Source organism: Homo sapiens, chromosome 11, assembly GCF_000001405.40.
Source record: "Homo sapiens chromosome 11, GRCh38.p14 Primary Assembly".
In the NCBI taxonomy this organism is placed as follows: domain Eukaryota; kingdom Metazoa; phylum Chordata; class Mammalia; order Primates; family Hominidae; genus Homo; species Homo sapiens.
In genome coordinates, this window is record NC_000011.10 from 121922242 (window position 1) to 121944277 (window position 22036).

At 40.8% G+C, this 22036-nt stretch overlaps 2 annotated features.

The window, feature by feature from the left end:
* Window positions 6822-8222: an enhancer, noted in NCBI's record as "VISTA enhancer hs872". NCBI's record gives its function as "enhancer in: neural tube[7/8] | hindbrain (rhombencephalon)[7/8] | midbrain (mesencephalon)[7/8] | forebrain[6/8] | eye[7/8]" and the evidence as "EXISTENCE:transgenic organism evidence [ECO:0001131][PMID:17130149]".
* Window positions 7078-7578: an enhancer, noted in NCBI's record as "NANOG-H3K27ac hESC enhancer chr11:121800027-121800527 (GRCh37/hg19 assembly coordinates)". NCBI's record gives its function as "activates a minimal SCP1, AML or CMV promoter by ChIP-STARR-seq in naive H9 embryonic stem cells {active_cell/tissue: H9 hESC(naive)}" and the evidence as "EXISTENCE:reporter gene assay evidence [ECO:0000049][PMID:30033119]".

The window sequence follows — 22036 nt, forward strand, 5'->3', positions numbered from 1 at the left end:
GGTTTGACAAGGTGGGAAGCTCCCCAGTCATTAGAAGTGTTCAAGTAGAAATTGACTGTTAGGGCTGATGCAGGTGAGATTCCTGAATGGGCTAGGAGACCTTGAAGGTCTTTTCTGTGAATCTCTGGAAGTAGAAAAGAACACTGCTAAATACTTAGATAACTATCCAGGCATGATTCCTTCCAATAATACCCAGAGATAGTCAAATACTACAATGCCTATATTTCGCAGGCTGTGAGAGTGCTGGGGCAGGGGGAACTTCTGAACCACTTACTGGTGTGTGGCTTTTGATGCATCCTTGTGTGTAGTATTTGAGCAAAGCTATTCTCATCAGGTCTAGTATTTCAAAACAAAGGCAAAATAAATGGACGTGTATGAGTGCTTGATGGCGTGACCTTCATGTGGTAATGGTTAAAATCTGTGTGTAATGGAATCTTCCAACCCATGAACTTGGGTGTAGATGGGCTGAATATTGCCGAGGAGCATACAGAAGGCACTGGGCATTTGAGCAAGCTTTCTTCTTTATCACTTCTGTAGGTTGGCTGGACACTCCTGTTCTATATTCTTCTGTGGAGCCAGCCTCAAATGTTGGTAAAACAGATGAGTGCCTATAGGATGAGACTCGGAAAGTAGAAATGGCTCCTCTTGCCTCTAAATACAGTCATATGTTATGTAACAATGGGGATATATTCTGAAAAATGCATCTTTAGGTGATTTTATCAGCGTGAACATCAGAGTGTACTTATGCAAACCTAGATGGTACAGCCTACTACACACCTGGAGTATAGCCTGTTGTGCTCCTAAGCCACAAACATGTGCAGCATGTTTTTGTACTGAGTATTGCAGGCAATCATAACACAGTGGTATTTGTGTATCTGAACAGATCCAAATATAGAAAAGGTACATTGAAATAAGATATTGTTGTCTTATGGGATCACCATCATATAGGCTTTTGTTCACCATTGTTGAACAAAAGTTTGTTATGTGGCATATGCTATATCTCCTTTGCTAATCTTCTAGGAGCATCTATCAGAGATGAGCTCTTACAAAAGATATTACCTGTATTGCAATGCATTTGTTCAGTTCTTTTCTGTTTACTACATTCTCTCACATGCATTATCTGTGTTACCCAAGCCATCCTTGGCTGTTTTCATTTCCATGAATGTCCATGCTTTTGGTAGCCACAGAGCCTATGGGTTCTTTTCCCTGTTGGCTAATGCACCCTTCCAAGCATCTATACTTCTTTTGCATAGCAATCATTACACTTGTTGTTTATCTGTTCTTCCTGTAGGCTTTAAGTTCCAAGAAGGTTGGAACTAAGTCTGCTTTGTTATCTGCTGTGCTGTGAAGCCTGATACAGTTTCTGGCACAAAATAGGCACTGCCTAAAGATTTGTTGAATAAACGTCTGAGTATTGATGCTCTTTTCTTCAACCTTATTGATATTTTACAGATAAGTTCAGAAAAATTAAGTGGTTTTCCCAAAGGTTTACAGATTGGATACTCAAAATACAGTTTTCTGACTGCAGATTATTAGCTTTCCCCCCTCTGTATCCTCTCTGTATCACAGCTGTTTCTACCGGTAACATGTGCCTATGTTCCTTGGGACATTAATAATCTTGGTGTTGATGCTCTGATTATGCTTGTCTCCTTTGTAACTTGGGATGGAGATGGATTTGAAAGAAGAGAAATATTTCTAGATGATAAAAAAAGAAAATATTGTCATTTGGCCTGTGCACACTGTGAAATTCATTTTTCAGGAAATGCTATGAGGCAGGATGGGATGGCTTCCTGAGGGTTTTTGACACAAACCTACTTGTAGTCGAAGCTGATGCAAAGTTTGTTCCATGAGATTACAGGTATGAGTGGTTTAGGCATTGCTATTCTAGAGGATTGGATCTGAGGTCTGCATAGATGTCTTCTACATAATTCAGCAATTGACAATTAGACCCTTGGAATGTAAGGTTACATACGTAGGTGTATGGATTCAGGGACAAGGAGGAGAGTGGGGGAGGAAGATGGAGAAGGTGCCACCACTCATGGGCAAAGGAGTATGACAATCTGCCTAGGCCATGTGGCTGACAACCCTCCTGACGCTTGTTTTGACTTTTCTCTAACTGCACAACCGGTGTATGCAGATGACTTTACATCTCATAGCAAAATGTGCGACAGCAATGTGCTAAGCAAATGCAAACAAAAATATGCTTCCCCCACTCCAAACAAATCTCTCACACATCGCAACTATGCCATGGCATGGCGAGAGACAGGAGACAGAGACCACCAGGAACCAGATTTGCTCATTGTTTAAACCACTCTCCATGATCTATATATATATATGCATTGGGAGATTACCTTCAGTTGCATTGGATTGCTTGCTATGATTTAGACATACATGCACTATGATTTCACTCATCCATGCATGCTGAAAGCATTATCCATTCAATTCATTCAACATTTACTGCATACCTACTATGATCCAGGAATACATAAGCACTAAAGAAGGTACCATGAGCTAAGCCATTTGAGAAGGCCATCTTCTAGTTCATTGTTTCTCTGCTTTTGTTCATGCTTCTCCTTCCTCTCTGCATGTACTTCACCCTACTTTCTGCCTGTGGATATCCTTCCCAAAGCTTAAAAGCCAGCCCAAGAGCATTTCTTTTCTCATCTTTACCACTCCTCCCCACAGTAAGAATTAATTGTTCTTTTGTCCCGTGCTCCAACAGCACAACGCCTCTACTCCAAAGTTGCACAGTTGGTATTTGATAGAAGGGCCTGCTGCCACCTTATTTCTCCTTATTTTTCCCACCTTCCCAAAGCTTACAGGACAAGTTCTTCTTGAGTTCTGTGAAAGTTCTAACAGAGGTAGGAAGTATATTAGTGGCCTAAACCTCACAAAAGGAGGCCTTATAATTAAATTTATAATTTTTGCATTGAGAGTCTTCTGGCTCAAATATAGCTAGCTGAAGGGCTCCAATTTGCCTTCCTTAAAACTCCTTATGAAACTAGAATAATGATAAGAAATTGTGCTGTGTTCTTCTCCAGGATAGCATAGCATGGTGGCAAAACAAGGTGTAATTTGAAGTCTAGATTTGCCTGGGTTCAAATCCTGACCCTGCCATGTACTGAATATGTTCGTTTGGAGAAGTGACTTAACATATTTGTGTCTAGGTTTTCCTGTCTTTAAAATGAGAAGAATAATAGAACATATTTTATAGGATTGGTATAAGGATAATGTATTCATACATGCATTTACTTGGAATACTGTATGGCACTTAATACATGTTCAAGTGATGCTAGTTATTAATATTAGTTATTATTCTCCAAATGAATTAATTCATAGCTAGAGTTGACTATGGTGGCATACTGTTGATGATTCTTTCTAATTAGATTTGTATTCAGAATGTTTTGAGACTCAGTTTTAAAAAGGCCACTGCTGGGAATAGATTTTTCAAGCTCTCATACTATTTATGACGAGTAAGTCATTTAGAGTTAAACTTTGGAACATGAATTTCAATATTTTTACCACTATTAGGTGGTGTCTTTCCTGGAAGAATTTATACAACCTCCCTAATCTTCTAGTTCCTCAACTTAAAAAGGAGAGGTAATCCTCCACCCCCAACCTCAGGGTTCTGTGATGATTCAATGAGTGTTGTGAGAATGAATGAAGTAAATAACATATGGAAGTGTCTTGCATCATGCATGATAGTCTTAATAAATGTTTGCTTTATTCTTTAATTTAAAAAAGATAAAGAAGCTCTTCTTGGCCACTGAATCTGGAATCTGGTATACCTGAGATGGCCCTGGGAGCCTTGATAGTGCCAAACAATAGTAACTTACACAGTGGCTTCCAGCGTTCCAGGTAGGATCTATTGCCCCCACCCCTCTGCCACCATCCACATCTAGATCTAGCTATCAAATCTTTCAGTCCTTACAATAGCCTTATGGGTTAGTACTATTATGAGTCTTTTCTAAGGTGAGGAAGCAGATGAGGACTGCTTCTAAGGCGGGGCTGCAGTTTGGGGCCTGTTCCTCAGTCTTTCCACACACCTATTCTAGCAGCAGTTCCATTTTCCCTGAGGACTGGCTTTTGCCCCCAAAGCCCAGCAGGAACAGGGCTCAGCTGCTTGTCTCACCCCCCAACAGCATTCTTTTCTCTGGGGTAGTTCCTGTGTGCTGAACATTTGTGTTGAACAGACTAAGCTCCTGACTCCATTCTTTGTCCTGTCTTCCCTTCAAATGTCCACTGGGTTATGCCTCTGGGTGCTAAGAATTGCTTTGTAGGAGGAGAACTATGTGATGCCTTTCCTCACCCATCATAAGGGTCACGACTGACATTTTTATAACAAAAGACAGGTTAACCAGAGAAAAGCATAACAATTTTATTTAATTGAAGTTGTACATGACACAGGAGCCTTTAGGATGAAGACCCAAGACCTGGGAAAACTATTTTTATGCTTAGGTTCAGTGAAGAACAAACGGCCATGTAGAAATGTGACCAAAAAACTGTGTTCTAATGGTAAGAGACCGAGTGGAGAAGGCCAGCCGCCAGGACTGTGTGTTCAGATTCTTCCTGGTTTTTCTGTGTAGCATTCTTTCCTCCTGGGTGTCGGGCGGGACCCCTCTGGAATGAGGGTCTTCAAAGGAGAAGGGAGAGAGTGATCTTTGTAGGTTTTATGGCTTGCTTTGGGGAGGAGAAGTTCTAGTTTCTACGACCTGTGTTGGGGAAGAGGAATTCTGGTTTGTAGGACTCGCTTTGGTGGAGAAAGAGGGGCAAGAGACAGGAGGGCAGGAGAAGATCGGAAAGTTTGCTTCTGAGATCTTCCAGTCTCCTTTAGTTTGAAGTATTCGGTGTATCAAAGCACCAGACTTTCGAGTATTGTCTTCTGAGCTCCAACAGCCTGAACCATGCCCTTTGACTGTACTGCCTGGTGCAGTTTGGCTACCTTCTGTAGAGTCTGCCTCCTTGTCTTGATTGGTTCCCCGGCTTGTTTCCTGATCCCAAACATATGCTTTTTTTCCCAGACTGGATCTTTCCAGCCTTTGAGACTCATGTTGCTTGTTTAGGTCTCAGCATGTTGCAGACCATGTGGGCTGACTGATTAAACATCTGCATTATCTCTTCCAGGTGCCAGGAGAATTAAGTGACCAAAATCATCTGAAAGTCCTTAAGTCCATGAAACTACACTCAGGAGAAGATTATCATGTAAAGGAGAGGTGCATTGTGTTTGGGGAACAAATGCCCATGGAAATAGTGAGTGCAGAAAGTTACAGAGCTTTGCATCTAGGCCCTCTAGTAGAGTTTGCAAATGAGATCGCCCTACAGATGGAGAATTTGGGAGCATCATGCTGCGACGCCACCTCTTGGCTAATGCATGTGGATTGTCAGGCGACAGAGGGAACTCTGATCAACCAACACTGACTTTTGGTACAGAATCCCAGTGGAAATCACCCAAGGGAAAGCAGACGACTAGTGTGCCTTATGGGGAAGCATTTTCTATATTTAGTGACCAAACTTTCATTGCCTTTGGAGAATGAAATCCGTGCTTCTTTTTTAGAGTGGTTGTTTTGAGTGGTAGTCAACATGGGGGAGAGATGGTGTTACTTTCTAAATGGAGTAAAAGATGAGCAAGATAAGCAACTTCCACCACATAGCAGCAGGTATGAAGACAACTGGTGCCTGTCTCCAGCATTCAACTAAACAGTCTCTTGCCAAGAACCTCACCTTTGGCCTGTGTAGAGCCGTTTTCACTGGGTCAGAGCAGAGGTCAGTACATCGACCCAATCACCCCATAGCATCTTGGCCAACCAAGGGGTGCTAATTAGATCCAATTGTGATGAAGGTAGAGGGAAGTTTCCCTCACTGCACTGACCACCCCCCCGCCCCCGCCCGAGTGATTTCCTTGTCTTAGAGGCCACGGGGGTGGGGTAGGGGGCTATTCTTCACCTCATCTGTCCATGGCTAGCTGGGTATGTAGCAGCTGATTCCGTTCTTAGCCTCAAATTCTCAAGGCCTCCAGATCTAAGGGATTGACACTGACTTCATGCCTCCTCCAAATATAGGAAAGTTCCCAATTTGTAATTCAGAATGTAGATGTTTGGGGATGGAAGAAGAAAACCAAAATATAAGTACCAGCTATTGGTCCAATGTCCGCTATGCTTTGGAAGTCATACTGATATTGGTAAGGTGTGGCAAATGTCAGCACCACTGCCCACCACCCACCTGCCCTTTCTCTTATGGATACAATGCATTAATTCATAAGAGGCATTTCAGACAAACGCCGGAAAGTAATTTATCAGGGTTCTTCCAGGGCTTCCAGCTATAATTGTTTTAAATCCAACAAATTTGCTATAGGCAAAGGCCCCCAAACTACCCTAAGACATATTCCTAAATTTCCAGAGCTTAAAAATCAATGTGCTTAAAAAAATAAAAACAGAAAATGCCAGCTGCCTTTGCAAACAAGGACACTGGGAAACAAATATAATTGTGTTTTTTCCTTCTACATCCGTCCGGGAACTTCGACTGCTACTATGCTACATCAGGTATGCAATGAAAGACAAACAACGAGGACTCCAAACAGAAGAGGGGAGCTTCAGTAACTGTAGTTTTTATGTTAGGGAGAGACTGAGAGAGAAAGGAGCATTGTATCTCGGATTAACAGAACTGCAGGATTTCATTAATGACAGCCCAGCTTTTTAGCAAAAGGAAGATAGTTAGGGCAGTAAAAGAGAACATGACTAGAATGTGCTCTGCTAATTGGAAATGTATATTATCTTCAGACGATGTGAGTGTGGAGGAGAGGGGGATGGGGAGGATGAGAAGAGACACATACTGAGAGGCCTGCAGGAGAAAACTGGACCCAGGACGCCCCAGATTTGGCCACACCAGCAGGGCAGTTAAAGGGTCCTTTCTTGCTGGTAGGAACGTCTAGTGCCAGGACCCCACCCTCCCCCACTCCCTTTTAATTCAATGGCTACGTAGGGGCTTCTTTGATGGAGGCTTTGAAGTCGGTGGCTTTGAGATTACTCTTCCTCTGTGACCTTGACCACCAGCCATGAGGTTAGGGGGGAAGGGGAGGGGAGGAGGAAGGCGCTGGAGTTGGAAAAAGGAAAGGAAAGAGAGGGGAGGGGAAGGAAGGCCGCCCTAAGACATTTCTGCAGCATTCCACGACTTTTCTGATCACTCTGCAAAGTTGAAATATGATTGCAGCCTTTGCACCGGGAAGGAAAGAAACCATTTAAATGAAAAATTAGCTGCCTTAGCAGGTCAAGCACATAGTTACATTAATGTCGTGTAGAACAATAAATCAACTTCGATCTCCAATTGAAAAAATGCTAATTTAGCTCAGCGATTCACTGATTGTACTTTCCTCTGATAGAAATCTTTTCTTTTATTTAATGCGAAGCCGTGATTTGACAGCCTCCTCTAATGGTGCTTGCAGACTCTCAGCATTTCAGTGGAATTCTGATCATGGTTTTAATATTCCGTGCAGCTCTGCCCCCTCTGATTTCACGCTCACACATTAACGAGAGCTGACACTGGAGATTAGACGCAGACAGCTGGAATGCCAGGTCTTTGTTGCAGCATGGACAGGAGCCAACGTCGTTCAACCACAGCCAAGAGGGACCTGGGAAAGTCTTCTTAAGAAGGAGGGGAAGGCGGGGTGGGGGGCTTGAGGGAGGGTGGGAGCGGGGGATGGGAGCAAAAAGAAAGGCAAGGTAGTTTCTGAAGGGCATATGAAAATAGATGTTTTCAGAAAGCCCTTTCGTCTCTGAAATTCACATTGGAATCAATTCTGGTTTATTTAGAGGAAGTGGTTCATTACAGGGAAATCCCAAATTGGTTGCAGTATTTTTCTGTAAACTCTGAAAATACAAGTGTGATGCACGAAAATGGAAATGGCTCCTGCTTCAGCTGCTCACTAGTTCGTCTGAGAAACAATGGTGATTACGAGCTGGAGGAAGAGTGCTTACATAAGGAAATGTGTTCTCCCCTTTGCCTTAAAAAAAATCACTTAGTTCCAGGTGAATAGATGGGGAAATAAAACGAGATTTATGAGCCAGGGCTGCCTGTGCGACTAGCGACTACCTCGGCAAGAAAGGAAGTCGCGTAGCCTAACTGCCTTGATCCTCATAAATTGTTTCCTGATACCAGAAATCAAATAAAGATCCATAGTTTCATCTAAACCATAAAGCCACTTGGGCTCAGCTAGTGCCGATATTGCAAAGGGGAAGGAAGGGTGCTGCCTGAGACACTGGCTCAACTTTGTCCGAAAGAAGATGACAGATGACCAAAGTTGCGGAGGCGGCGCATTAATACTATGTCAAAAAAAATTGTTTCTGCTCCTGGGGGAAACCAATTGAGTAGAAATAACAAATGTCCTTCTTGCTAACTGTATCATTAATAATAATCGTACTTTGCATTTTTATGGGATACCAGGATTCTAGAGCGCTTTATAAATATTCATAGGGGAAGGCTGGGGAAGGGAGGTGAATGTACCCATTCCTGATGCCTGGCTGGAGTGACTAAGACTCAGGGCCCTGCAGGGGCTTAACTGGAGTGAAACAGCAAATCACAAAGCCCCATGCTGCAGCTGGCTTGGAGACATCCAGGTTTGGTCTCTGATGCCCACTGCTCTCTCCTATGAACAGGAACGTGGCTGTAGTTTAGGAATTAGATGAGCTGAACCCTCTTGTATCACTTTTGCTTGTTGTTCTTATTTGCCTTGGTGGGACCACTGTCACTGATATAAGTTTATTCATTCTACTAGCATATAATATATATAGTAATATATTCATTCTACTACCATATAATATATATAATATATATATAATATATATATTATATATATACGTATATATATAATATATATATAAATCCGGCAGTCACATCACAGTGCAGAGCCTACCACAGGCATAAATCAGAGTAATTATAAGCAAGTCAGATACATTTGCATATGAATCTTAGTTCCTCTCTTACTGGCTTTGGGACCTTAGCAAAGTTCTTTACTTTTTTCTAAACCTCAGTTTTTTTGTCTGTAAAATGGGTTTAAAACGAAATAATCCTTAACACTGTCTGACCCATCATGGGCACTCAGTAAATGCCAAAAACAACCATTGTTGTTGTTGCTGTTTTCATATAATTGTTGGGAGGGTTCAGTGAGAATACACACACGCAAACATTGCTGGATAGAGTTGGTTCATAGTAAACAGTTAATAAGTGCTTGTTATTGTTATGTAACACATGAATGAGAATGTCTAATTCCAAAGCAGCACTATTGCCTGCAAAGCAGTCCTCTCAGTAGATTTTTGCTGATTCCCAAGATACTGAGAAATTGCTCAAAGCATTTTTGGAACTCTTCTGGAAAGTTATGCATGGACACTGTTGGTACTTTCTTAAATATCTTGAAATGTGGTACATCTTCATCCTTAGAGGGTGGATTTGTTGAAAGCTATTAAAAGTCGCCCTGAAGCTATGGCCAATGAATATGGTGGGCAATCAAGTTGGGGAACATTGCTTTGGAAATACATGTGCCTATAAGGAAATTAGATTGGTTTGTGTGGTATATAAACTGAATCTGATCACAATTCCAAAAAAGGCTTATTGAGCAAACATAGCCATTTCAGAATATACACTTTGCCTCCCAAGGAGAGTACTTAGAAGGGGTCATAGATTCTGATACATTTGTCGGGGTGGGGAGATGAAGTTTATTGTTTCATGGCCACTGCTTGTAATAGCCTTCCCTGAATAGCTTACAGTCCCAGCTAGAATAAAAAGACATGCCCCTGAGTGCTTCCGATTATGTGCAATCTGAGGTCCACTTCCCTTGACTTTGCCCTTTTGGCTTATGGGCAGCTTTAGTGCAGAGTCAGTTTGCTCATTTTTTCAGGATTGTGCAAACTGACCCTGCATTTACTGGGTTTCTGAAGTTACTAAGGATTAAAACTGACTAAGTCATGATCTCTGCCCTCACAGGCCTCACAGTCTAATAGGGAAGGCAAACAAATAGTTGCAATACAGAGAGGTAAGTGCTATAGGAGAGGGACACATCAGGAGTAGGGCAGATCCCAGAGGCCCTATATGTATATTATGCTCGAGCGTGTGGACTTTTTCTTAGAGTTGGATAGGAAGCCATTGGCCTTTACAGCTGGGATCAAACATACTCTAATTTGGCTTGCCCTTCTGTTCTACCTGTCCCTATTCCTAGCTTCCACGTCTTGACCACAAATCGTATACACCCTGCATTAGCCCTGAGGACAGCTGAAGTGGAAATTGTTTTGTTTTGTTTTGTTTTTAATTTGAATCTCACTCCCTTATTAAGGAGCTCTCTGGCAGTGAAAGAGCAAGAAGAGACTTTTCCCAAATCTTCTCCAGAAAGATTTAAGAGGTGTGATTTATTATAATTTCAATTATAAAAGGTTTGGGTTTGGCTTAAAGAGTTTTCACTTACAATGTCTGAGTCTGTTCCAAGGGCTGTAAACCATGGCGGGTTTCCAGTGGCCCCAGGTAGCATCCCCATAGTCACATTACTTACAATTGGTAATGAATGGCTTTGACCAGAGGGGAGTGTAGATGAGCTGAATGGAATGCTTAAGAGCCTAAAGGCATGGGAGACTGCTTCTGGTGGTTAGATAGAATTGATCATATCAGTGGCAATATGACACATATAGAATATGTTGGAAGACAGGAAGCCTGGAGTGGTTTTACTCATTCCTGAATGCTACGCCTCTGTGACATGGAGGTAGGAGTGCCATTCCTGCCAACGCACTGTCATTGAAATAGATTCATTTGTTCATAAGCATGCAGAGAAAATGTGTCCTGACTTTGTACATTCACTCTGGGTAGAGCACCTAGAAACATCTAAGATGTTGGAGATTATGATTGTCTACTTGGATTTGAAATGCCTAGTGGCTTCAGAGTGCTTTAACCATTCTGAATGGTCATGATAATAGCATGTCTTAGAACAGGGGTCCCCAACGTTTTTGGCACCAGGGACCTGTTTTGTGGAAGACAATTTTTCCATGGACAGCGAGGGGTTTGGGGATGGTTTTGGGATGAAAACGATGAAACTGTTCCACCTCAGATCACCACGCATTAGTTAGATTCTCACGAGGAGCACGCGACCTGGATCCCTCACATGTGCAGTTCACAATAGGGTTCACATTCCTATGAGAATCTAATGCTGCTGCTGATCTCAGAAGAGGCTGAGTTCAGGCAGTAATGCTAAGTTGCTGGCCTGCTGCTCACCTCCTGCTGTGCGGCCCAGTTCCTAACAGACCACCTACCAGTACCAGCCCACAGCCTGGGGGTTGGGGACCCCTGTCTTAGAAGAGTGATTCTCAACTTCAGTATTGTACCACACGCAGGTTTCAGGCATGTTACAAGCATAATATTGGTGGATGATTTGTTAAAGTTTGTAGATAATTATTGAATTGGAAAAAAAAATGGGGCGATTATCCCTATAATGTCACCCTTCCAATAGGCTTTCTATTGGGGAAAAAAAAAAATGCCTATCAGGAATTAGAGAAGTCTCTGAATAGCCTCCAGGGAGTGTGCCATGAAAATACACACAGGGGATTTCAATATGAATTTTCAATGGAAAAAAAGTTGAGAACTCCTATGCCAAAAATAACATTTGATGTAAACATGACCGTATTATGTATGCAATTCAAATGGAGTTTAGTCATTGTGAGATGAGAAAATATTACGTAATGATGTAGTATTTAGCTAACTGAGTTTCAAAGTATATTCCTTGAGACTAGTGTCTGCAGTTGAATCCAAACATGGTAGTCTATTTATTTCTTCCATTTTTGTGCCATCATTGTTTAATCCTAGTTCCTTTTCATTAGTGGGTTTTCTCATTGCTTCAGTTCAACTCTGAGCAGTTCCTGGGACTATTAGAGACTGTAGTAGAGGTCATGGGCGTCATGGATGTAGGGAATCATAATTTCTTGAATATCTACTGTGTGCTGATAGCATGCTTAGCATATATATATAAAATATGTATATAATTATATATAATTTAATATATTATAATGTATAATTTCACATCATTATAATTACACAAACTATAATTAATGTACATATATAATTTAATCCTTACAATAAGGCTGTGAAGTTCTATCCCATTTTACAAATAAGGATTTTGAGACAAAAAGGAGTCTAAATAATTGGCCCCCTAAGGTCAAACACCTAGTAAATAATAGAGCGCTAATTCGAAAACAGATTTTTTGGAATACCCAAACACTTATTTCTTTCCTGAGCATGTGCCCATGAAAGGATACTAGACAGGGTAAGAGTGTATAAGTTCTCACCGTTGCCCCAGTTGGATATAAAGGCAGGAACTGAACACAGTCTAAAATTCAAAGTCTTGGGGCCAATGTAAAGAATCAGAGCCAAGAAGGGATCATCCGTGACAGCATCTGATGAAATGTATGGGTCAAATCATGTAAAATTGCCAACAGTTGACCATTTTCTATCTCTAAAAATGGAAATTTCATATGGTTCAACCTAACAAAAGTAGGATAATCAGTGCTAAGTCACACTTAATATGTTTTTCTCACACATAGGATTGAAATCTGGCTTTTAAAATGGAAATAGAATAGAGTCATTTACTCCAGCTCCTAAAGTTCCATATATCTTACAGCTCTAAGATAACTGAATGGGAAAGCCTAGCTCAAGATTTGTAGCATCTGTAAATCAAGCATTTAATATTGAGAAGGAAGGGGCGAGGTAATTTCTGGCCCTCTGATTCTCCCACCAGCTACGGAATGTGAGGCACACGCCCTCTGCAATGAAAACCATTCTTTCTATGTCTCAGCCCTGTGACCCCCTAAGCCCCAAGGAAGACAGGTTACCCACTGTTATGAATTGAATTGTGTTCCCCAAAAGATATGTTGAAGCCCTAATCCCCAATACATCAGAATGTGACCCTATTTGGAAATAGGCTTGTTGCAGATGTAATTAGTTAAGATGTGGTCATACTGGAGTAGGTCAGGCCCTTTATTTAGTGATTGGTGTCCATGAAAAAGAGGAGAGACACAGAGACAAAGACAGGGAGAAGATGGCTGTGTGGTGACATAGGCAGAGATTAGAGTGAGGCATTTTGTTAGTCCATTCTCATATTGCTCTAAAGAAATACTTAAGACTCAGTAATTTATAAAGAAAAGAGGTTTAATTGGCTCACAGTTCTGCAGGCTGTATGTGAAGCCTGATGCTGTCATGTGCTCAGGTTCTGGGGAGGCCTCAGGAAACTTACAACCATGGCAGAAGGCAAAAAGGGAGAGAGGTGTTTAACATGGTGGGAGTAGGAAGAGAGGTGGGAGGAGAAGCTACATGGATTTTTTTTTGTTTTTTTTTTTTTTGTTTTTTGGAACTAGATCTCATGAGACTCATGATACCAGGGGCAGCACCAAGGGGCTGGGGCTACACCATTCATGAGGGACCACCCCCATGATCCAATCACCTCCCTCCAGGCCCCACCTCCAACAGTGGGGATTATAATTCAACATAAGATTTGGGCAGGGACACAGATCCAAACAATATAAGGCATCTGCAAGCCAAGGATTGCCAGCCATCACAGAAGCTAGGAAGAGGCAAGAAAGGATTACCCCTATGGGTCTCAGGGAGAGCAGGGTCCTGGTGGCACCTTGATCTCAGACTTCTGGGCCTCCACAACTGTTAGATGAGAAATCTCTGTTGTTTAAAGCCATCCAATTGGTAGTACTTTGTTACGGCAGCACTGGGAAACTGATGTACCCACTTTTCAGGTTCCACGTCTATTTCCTTCTCTTGTGCTCAGTCAAGATAATAAAGAAAATAAAATTGTCGTGTGAAAAGATAAATCCTAGATTTCAGAAAACATGGCTTACTAGACTGACTCACTTCCAGGATGTTCTAAAGAGTTTCTTTTTCTTTTTTTTTTTTTTCTGAACCTTAAATTTGGGGACTACATATGCAGACTGGTCTCCTTTGAGTAGGAGATTTTCATCTGATTTATGACAGTCAACCTCCACGTTAGATTTACTCTGAGCCTAAGTCACAGCCTAATGAGTTTTGAACAAATGGGCTGCCTTCCAGTGAACTGCAAGGTAAGGGATGACAATGAGGTCCTCCCTGGTGGCCATGACTGGTCTTCATGCCATCAGCAGTGAATTTGAATTATGTTAAATTGTGAATGTTACTGGAGAGGCACAATATTTTACATTATTAGTATCATTGGTGACTAATCCAGGATTTATTTATCAGGTTAGCCAACCATTAGCAGGAGCCAGACATAAGTCGGCCACAAATAGATTCACCCAGTATTTATTGAGTGTCTGCCATATAATCACACACTGGTCCAAAGTCTTGCATGATCTCACTGACTCTGCCCTACAATTCTAACACATAGTTATCTCCATTTAGAAATGACAAAAGTGAGACTAGGAAAGGTTAGGTAACCTGCCAAGAGTCACACCACTAGTAAGAGGGTAAATGGCTCCAAAGCTTTGGAGTCAGCTTATTTTTTGACACTAAAATCATAGATGAGAAGGACAGAGGGAACAGTTCCCAGCAAGGTGCCGCTCTGGGAGGGTGTGGGAAAATGAAGGATCACTGAAAGTACTGGGTCCTGGGAAGTGGTATTCAAACACAGTTGAGCATGAAGGAAGACTTCCAGAGTAGACCATGCATAGTTGTGGTCAGCAGGTCTGAACGTGGGGTCAGAAGATTCACTATTCAGCTCTTGGGCTAGAAACTGAACCTCTCTGAGCCTCATCATCCTAAACTGCAAAACAGGCATAACTATACCTTCCTCCCTGAGCTGTTCTGCGGCTTGCCCACAATAGTGGATGTACTAGCATCTAACATCTAGCAGATATTAGATAATCCATACATTCTAGCTTTCTGTGTTTTTCCCCGGTGTATTTTGGGCTGGCCCTGAGCTAAAGTCATATCCCTCTGAGTTAACCCCACCACTGTGAAGAGTATGCAATGTGTCATCACAAACTTAATTTTTAAAAACAGACATTTAATTTTTTTAAATGATGAATAAAACATTTTCACAATAATTGCAGTGATTCATCCATTTAGTCATCGGATATGAAGATTCTACCTATACCAATCATGGCTGAATCAGACCCAAAGAATTAGAAGACACTGCCTGCTCTTAAGAAACACTCAGTTTTTTGTCTTTTCATTGAAGTCCTATAAGGATTTATATTTTTCAGTAGTCTTTCCTGATATATATATATATATATATATATGTGTGTGTGTGTGTGTGTGTGTGTATATATACACCAGTGCGTATATAATCATAGGAAATATACATTGTGTGTCTTAATGTGTATCATTATTGTGTAAACACTTATATATATGTTATATATTATCAACATAAATAATATATCAACAATACATAAAAAGAGATAATATAAATATATAAATATATAATAAATATATATCTTGCAAACACTTATATATGCATGTATACCTATGCATACATAATCATAGGAAATATACATTTTGTGTCTTAATTTTTGATCAGTATTTTGTAAACAGTTTTTCTTCACCTCTGTGGTGGAAAATCATGTTTCAGCCCCAGGGCCTTTGCAATATCATTTCCCTCATGGTTTGGTTTGTAACTTTAGTGAAGTCTCTAATCAAATGTCAGCTCATCAGAGAGGCTGTCCTGACCACCTTATCTGAAATAGCCCCTGTTCTCACACCACTCCTTGTCTTTCTCTTTTGTTACTATGCAAATGGACTCTGATCATTACCTAATAGCATGTCATAGGCTTATTTACTTGTGTGTCATCAATTTTCTCCATATCCATTCTCCCCAACACCCCTCTCTGGCCAGGAGAATGTAGGCAGTGTGAAGATCAAGATGTTGTTTTGTTCTCTGACACATCCCTAAGACCTAGGACAGTGCCTGGCATATTGTAGGTGCTCGACAAATGTTCATTTCTGATGGAATGGTTCCATGTTGAACATTTCAATTAACTGTATGATAAATCATGTAGCTTTCCTATGCTTCCAGAGCCACATATGCTAATGAAGCTCATCCAACTTTACTCACTTTACATTCCTCACAGTCTTCAGACAACATCTGGACAAATTCTACATATTTTGGACAGGATTTCTCAGTCGTCCCTCCCCTCCCCTGCCCCTCCAAGCATGCCTCCTTTATATGCAGGGGTATTCACTCTAAGGCATCTTCTTGAGGATAGACATTATTTCTCTTCATTGAAACCCCCAGTTCCCAGGTACATCCACAGAGAACCTAGTCTGTTTCGCCGACGCTTGTGTTTGCAGTGCTTCCCCGTTCTTCACTAATGACTATAAATGTGCCAAAGAAGGAAATGAGAAAAGTTCAATGTGCAATGAATCCAGATTGAGCTGGTCTACACTGGTATCCTTCCCTGACACGCACCTGAGACCTCCTCACCTTGACATCATTATCTCTCATTAGAAGCGACTCAGAAGCACCAGGTAAGCAGTTGCAGGATGCTGACTGGATTTGTGGGGCTATGTTGATCACAAGCCACATCCCTCTCTTTCTGTCTGCCCCCCTCTCTCTCTCTGACTGGCTGTGTAGCAGAACCTTTCAGCAGAAAGGTTTAGAGGTTAGCAAGAAAGTAATTAGGGCCAGAATTGCACATCAGCAACACTCCTCTAGCCATTTTCAAATGGCTGGCACTGTGGATTTTTAAATTTGAAACTTGGTGCTAAATTCGATCAGGTTTCTTCACTTCTTTGTTTTAGGCTTCGTTTTTGTTGGTTTCTCTTTGTTTATTACATGATTCAAGGTTTTCCCATACTACTATGCTGCCATGATACTACTGGAGGCAATCACTATTACTAGTTTTATCTGCCTCCTTCCAGGAATACTCTATGTATAAACAAGCATATATGTACACTATTTCTTTTTTGCTCTACAAATGGTAGCATACACTTTATTCTTCCTATCAGTTTTTGCTCTACAGTTTATCCTGAATATCATTCTTCAGTGTATACAGAGAGGTGACCCACTTTAAGACCACTACCTCATATTCAATTCAGTGGATGTGTTATATATTATTTTACCAAGCCCCTACGAAGGAGTATTTGTTTCAACTTTTTGCAATTATAAACGGCATAATAAATCATTTCACACATGTGCAAATATGTCACCAGGAAAGATTCCTAGGGATGGAATTTCTAGGTCGAAGGATGCCAGCTCTTTACATTTTGATAGATCATTAGAGATTCCTCGCTGTAGACAATTGCACAACATACACTGCCATACAGTTTGACAACAACACACGAGAGTGGCTGCCTCCTTACACCCTGGCCAACATTTACATCTTTGACAATCTAATCCACAAATCTATCACTTTGTGTTTTTTTCTGGTATTTCTCTTATATATGTAAATGCTATTTATATTTCTGAAAATTGTCAGTTCATGACTTTAGTCTGTAGTTGTTCTGAGTTATTGTTCAGATGACTTATAACAAAGAACTCTGTATGTATAAAAAACATTAACCCTTTGGAACATGGGAATACCTTCCCCAGTTTTTATTAATCCTTACATTTTATTTATATTTTACTTATTATGCAAAAAAAAGGAGTTTCAATTAATCACTTCTCCTTTCTGAGATTATTTTAATTTCTTAGCTTAGGTATTTTAGCCTCTTCCCTGTTGCAATTTAATTTAATTTTTTTTAAAGACAATCTTGCTCTGTTGCCCAGGCTGGAGTGCGGTGGTGTGATCTCAGCTCACTGCAACCAACACCTCCGGGGTTCAAGTGATCCTTGTGCCTCAACCTCCCAGTAGCTGGGATTAAAGGTGTGTACCATCACACTCAGCTACTTTTTGTATTTTTAGTAGAGACACGATTTCATCATGTTGGCTAGGCTGGTCTTGAACTCCCGGCCTTAAGTGATCTGCCCGCTTCAACCTCCCAAAGTGTTGGGATTAACAGGCGTGAGCCGTGGCACCCAGCCTCCCTGTTGCAATTTTAAATAGGATATTTTCTTCCATTACCTTTTATTTAAAAAACTCCATTATGAAATGACATTTTAAAAGGCATAAGGAATAACAAAACAAATGTCCATGTGCCCACCAGTTGACTTGCTTCAAAACATCAGTGATAAAGTTCCATCTATCTCTTCTTATCACGTTCACCTCTTTCACTCCTAGAAATAATCATTATCTACATTCGGTGTGTATCATTCCTACACATTTCTGAAAGTATTTCTACGACATAGATATGCATTCTTAAGCAGCATGTGGAATTGTTTTCAGTGTTTTTAAACTTTACGGAAATGTGCTCTTCTTCCACTTGCTTTTGCTGCTCAATGTGTTTGTGAGAATTTACCCATACTGATATATATGTTCCTAGTTAATTCACCCTGCTGAGGGAGCACTTCTCAATTTATTTACCCATCATCCTGGAAACGGACATTTAGGGTATCTCTTTTCTCTTTTTCCTATTAGAAACAATGATGGGGCTGGGTGTGGCGGCTCATGCCTGTAATTCCAGCACTTTGGGAGGCCGAGGTGGGTGGATCACCTGAGTTCGGGAGTTCGAGACCAGCCTGACCAACCAACATGGAGAAACCCCATCTCTACTAAAAATACAAAAAAATTAGCCAGGTGTGGTGGCGTATGCTTATAATCCCAGCTACTCGGGAGGCTGAGGTAGGAGAATAGCTTGAACCCGGGAGGCAGAGGTTGCGGTGAGCCAAGATCAGGCCATTGCACTCCAGCCTAGGCAAAAAGAGGGAAACTCTGTCTCAAAAAAAAAAAAAAAAAAAAAAAAAGAAAGAAAAAGAAAGAAAGAAACAATGATGGTAGGGATGTTCTTGTTCGTATCTCCTGGTACAGGAGAGAGAGTTTCTCTGGGAGTAGAATTAAAGGGTTGTGAGGAAATTCACCATCCAACTTCCAAGATAGTATCAAACTGTTCTGAAGGTAAAATACTCTCGCCAGCTATGCCTAAGAATTTCCTATGTTTCTCATCCTGTCTTTCACCTGTATTGTGAAACTTTATTATTTTTTCATTTTGAGGGTGTGTAAAAGAGTATCTCATTTAATTTAAATTTTCCTAATTATTAATGAGTTTGAGCATCTTTCATACACTTGTTAGCCGCCTAGGTTTCCCTTGTTTCTTTTCTTTTTTTTTTTTTTTTTTTTTTTCAGGCAATTCTCCTGCCTTGGCCTCCCGAGTAGCTGGGATTACAGGTGCCCGCCATGATGCCTGGCTCATTTTTGTATATTTAGTAGATACGAGGTTTCGCCATGTTGGCCAGGCCGGTCTCAAACTCCTGACCTCAGGTGATCTGCCCGCCTCAGCCTCCCAAAGTGCTGGGATTACAGGCGTGAGCCACTGCTCCTAGCCCTAGGTTTCCTTTCTTTCAAAAAATGAACCTCTCGTTGATGTCTTTTGTGCATTTTTACTTCTTTTTCTTTTTAATCTCATTATATTTTTAAGTACCTTGTATAGGAATGCTATTGTATTAATTTTGTCTATGAATTATGTTTCACATACCATGATGGTATATGATATGGTACCATGATGCTATTACATTCTTTAATACTTTTCCTTTCCAGAGGTGGAGCTTAATTCTCCTTCCCTTTGGTGTGGGATATCCTTAGAGTTTGCCTTCTAATGCAAGAGTGATGTGTGCCACTTCATAAACGAGGTCATAAAAGGCATTTTGGCTTCCTGCTTATTTGTACTTTCTCTTGAATCACTTGTTTGCGCTGGCTGCTATGTTGTGAGGACACTCAGGCAGCCCTGTGGAGAAGCCCATGTGGCAAAGAACTGAGGCCAACAGCCAGGGAGAAACTGAAGTCTCCTGCCAATAGCCATGTGAGTGCGCCATCTTGGATCTGAATCCTCCAGCCCCTATCAAGACTTCAGATGCCTGTGGCCTTGGCCAACATCTTGGCTGCAGCCTCATGAGGGACCCTGAGCCAGACAACCCAGCTAAGCTGATACTGGATTCCTACCCTCAGAAGCTGTGTAAAATGATAAATATTTCCTGTTTTAATCTGCTATCTTAGTCTGTTCAGGCTGCTATAACAGAATACCATAGATTGGGTGGATTATAAACAACAGAAATTTATTTCTCACAGTCTAGAGGCTGGGAAGTGCAAGATCAAAAGCACTGGCAGATTCAGTGTCTGTTGAGGGCTCATTTCCTGGCTTATAGATGACAGTTTCTCACTGTGTCCTCATATAGCATGTGTGTGGCAGGAGGGCAAGGCAGCTCTCTAAGGCCTCTTTTATAAGGGCACTAATCTCATTCGTGAGGTCTCTGCCCTCATGACCTACTAAAGACCTCATCTCCAAACATTATCACATTGGGGATTAGGTTTCAACATACGACTTTTGAGGGAACATAAATATTCAGTCTTTATAGAAGATGCTAAATTTGAGGAAAATAGCTATTACGGATTTGTCTTCAGTAGCTGCTAATATCAAATTTGGGGATAATTTGTCAAGCAGCAATAGATGTCTAATACATATACCTTACTGAATTATCTTATTGCTTGCATAGTTTTTTTCAACTGATTCTCTCGCATTTCTTAGGATTGCAATATTGCCTACATAGAATAATAATGGTCCCAATTTTATAAAAAATCGTTTATTATTTCCTCATCAAGCTTGCTGCTAGATTTGGGTTGAAATTTATAAATTTTATTAGAATGTTGAGGAAGTCTTTTCATTTATCCCCATTTTATTAACAATTTTTTAAAAATCAAGAATGATGTTGAACTTTGTCAAGTGCTTTTTGATACTTGAGAGAATTATAATTATCTTATGATTTTTCTTTTGAATTATTTTAACAGAGTTCCATTTTTGCATTGCAATTCATAAGGGAAAGTGATCTTATTTTGCTGTTGCTTGTGAAATATCTGCCAAGTCTGAAGTCTTTGCAACCTGTTTCATAATTTTCCTAATCTTTGTTAAACTGGTACCATAAAAATAAATGAAAGCTTTTCTTATTTTCCCTATGTCCTAGAGCAGTAGAAATTAGGGTCAGTAAATTTTTTCTTTACAGGGCCAGATAGTAAATATTTTAGGTTTTGTGGGATGTCTTTTTTTTTTTTTTTTTGAGACGGAGTTTCACTCTTGTCCCCCAGGCTGGAGTACAGTGGCGGGATCTCGGCCCACTGCAACCACCGTCTCCCTGGTTCAAGCAATTCTCCTGCCTCAGCCTCTTGAGTTGCTGGGATTACAGGCACCCACATCATGCTCAGCTAATTTTTTTGTATGTTAATAGAGATGGGGTTTCACCACGTTGGCCAGGCTGGTCTTGAACTCCTGACCTCAGGTGATCCGCCCACCTCGGCCTCACAAAGTGCTAATATTACAGGTGTGAGCCACTCTGTCCGGCCATGGTCACTGTCTTGACTACCCAACTCTACTGGAATGGTGGGAAAGCAGCCATAAACAGTATGCAAATAAATGAGTATGACTGTGTTCCAATTAAACTTTATTTAAGAAGAGAAGAGATGAGCTAGATTTGGCCTATGAACCATAGTTTGCCAAGCCCTGGTATAAATCAGCTCTCTCAAACTTTAATGTGCATACAATTACAATCTCCTAGAAATCTTGTTAAAACTAGATTTTCCTTTAGTAGGTTTGAAGGGTAGCCCAGGACTCTCCATTTCTCGCTAGCTCCCAGGTGCTGCCCACATGCTGGTCCTCAATCACTCTTTGAGTAGCAAGGATTTAAACGACATTGAAATGGTCTGTTTGTTTCTAAGTTTTGTTGAATTCGTTTGTGAAAACATCTAGGCCTAGTTTTTTTGAATTTTTCTGAATTTCTTTTATGGATATTGGTTGTTTGAAACTTTTGATCTCTTCTGAGGTTAGTTTTAGCAGCTTATAGATTCTTAGAAAAGCATCCATTATAACTAGGTTCTCATATTTATGTGCAAAGAGTTGAGCAAAGTAGTTTTTAAAGATTCTTTCCTTTTCCATCTGTGGTTATTTTTCCATTCTTATTTCTTATTTTTTTATTTGTGCTGTAATTAGCTATTGTTTTATCTAATCTATTCTACCT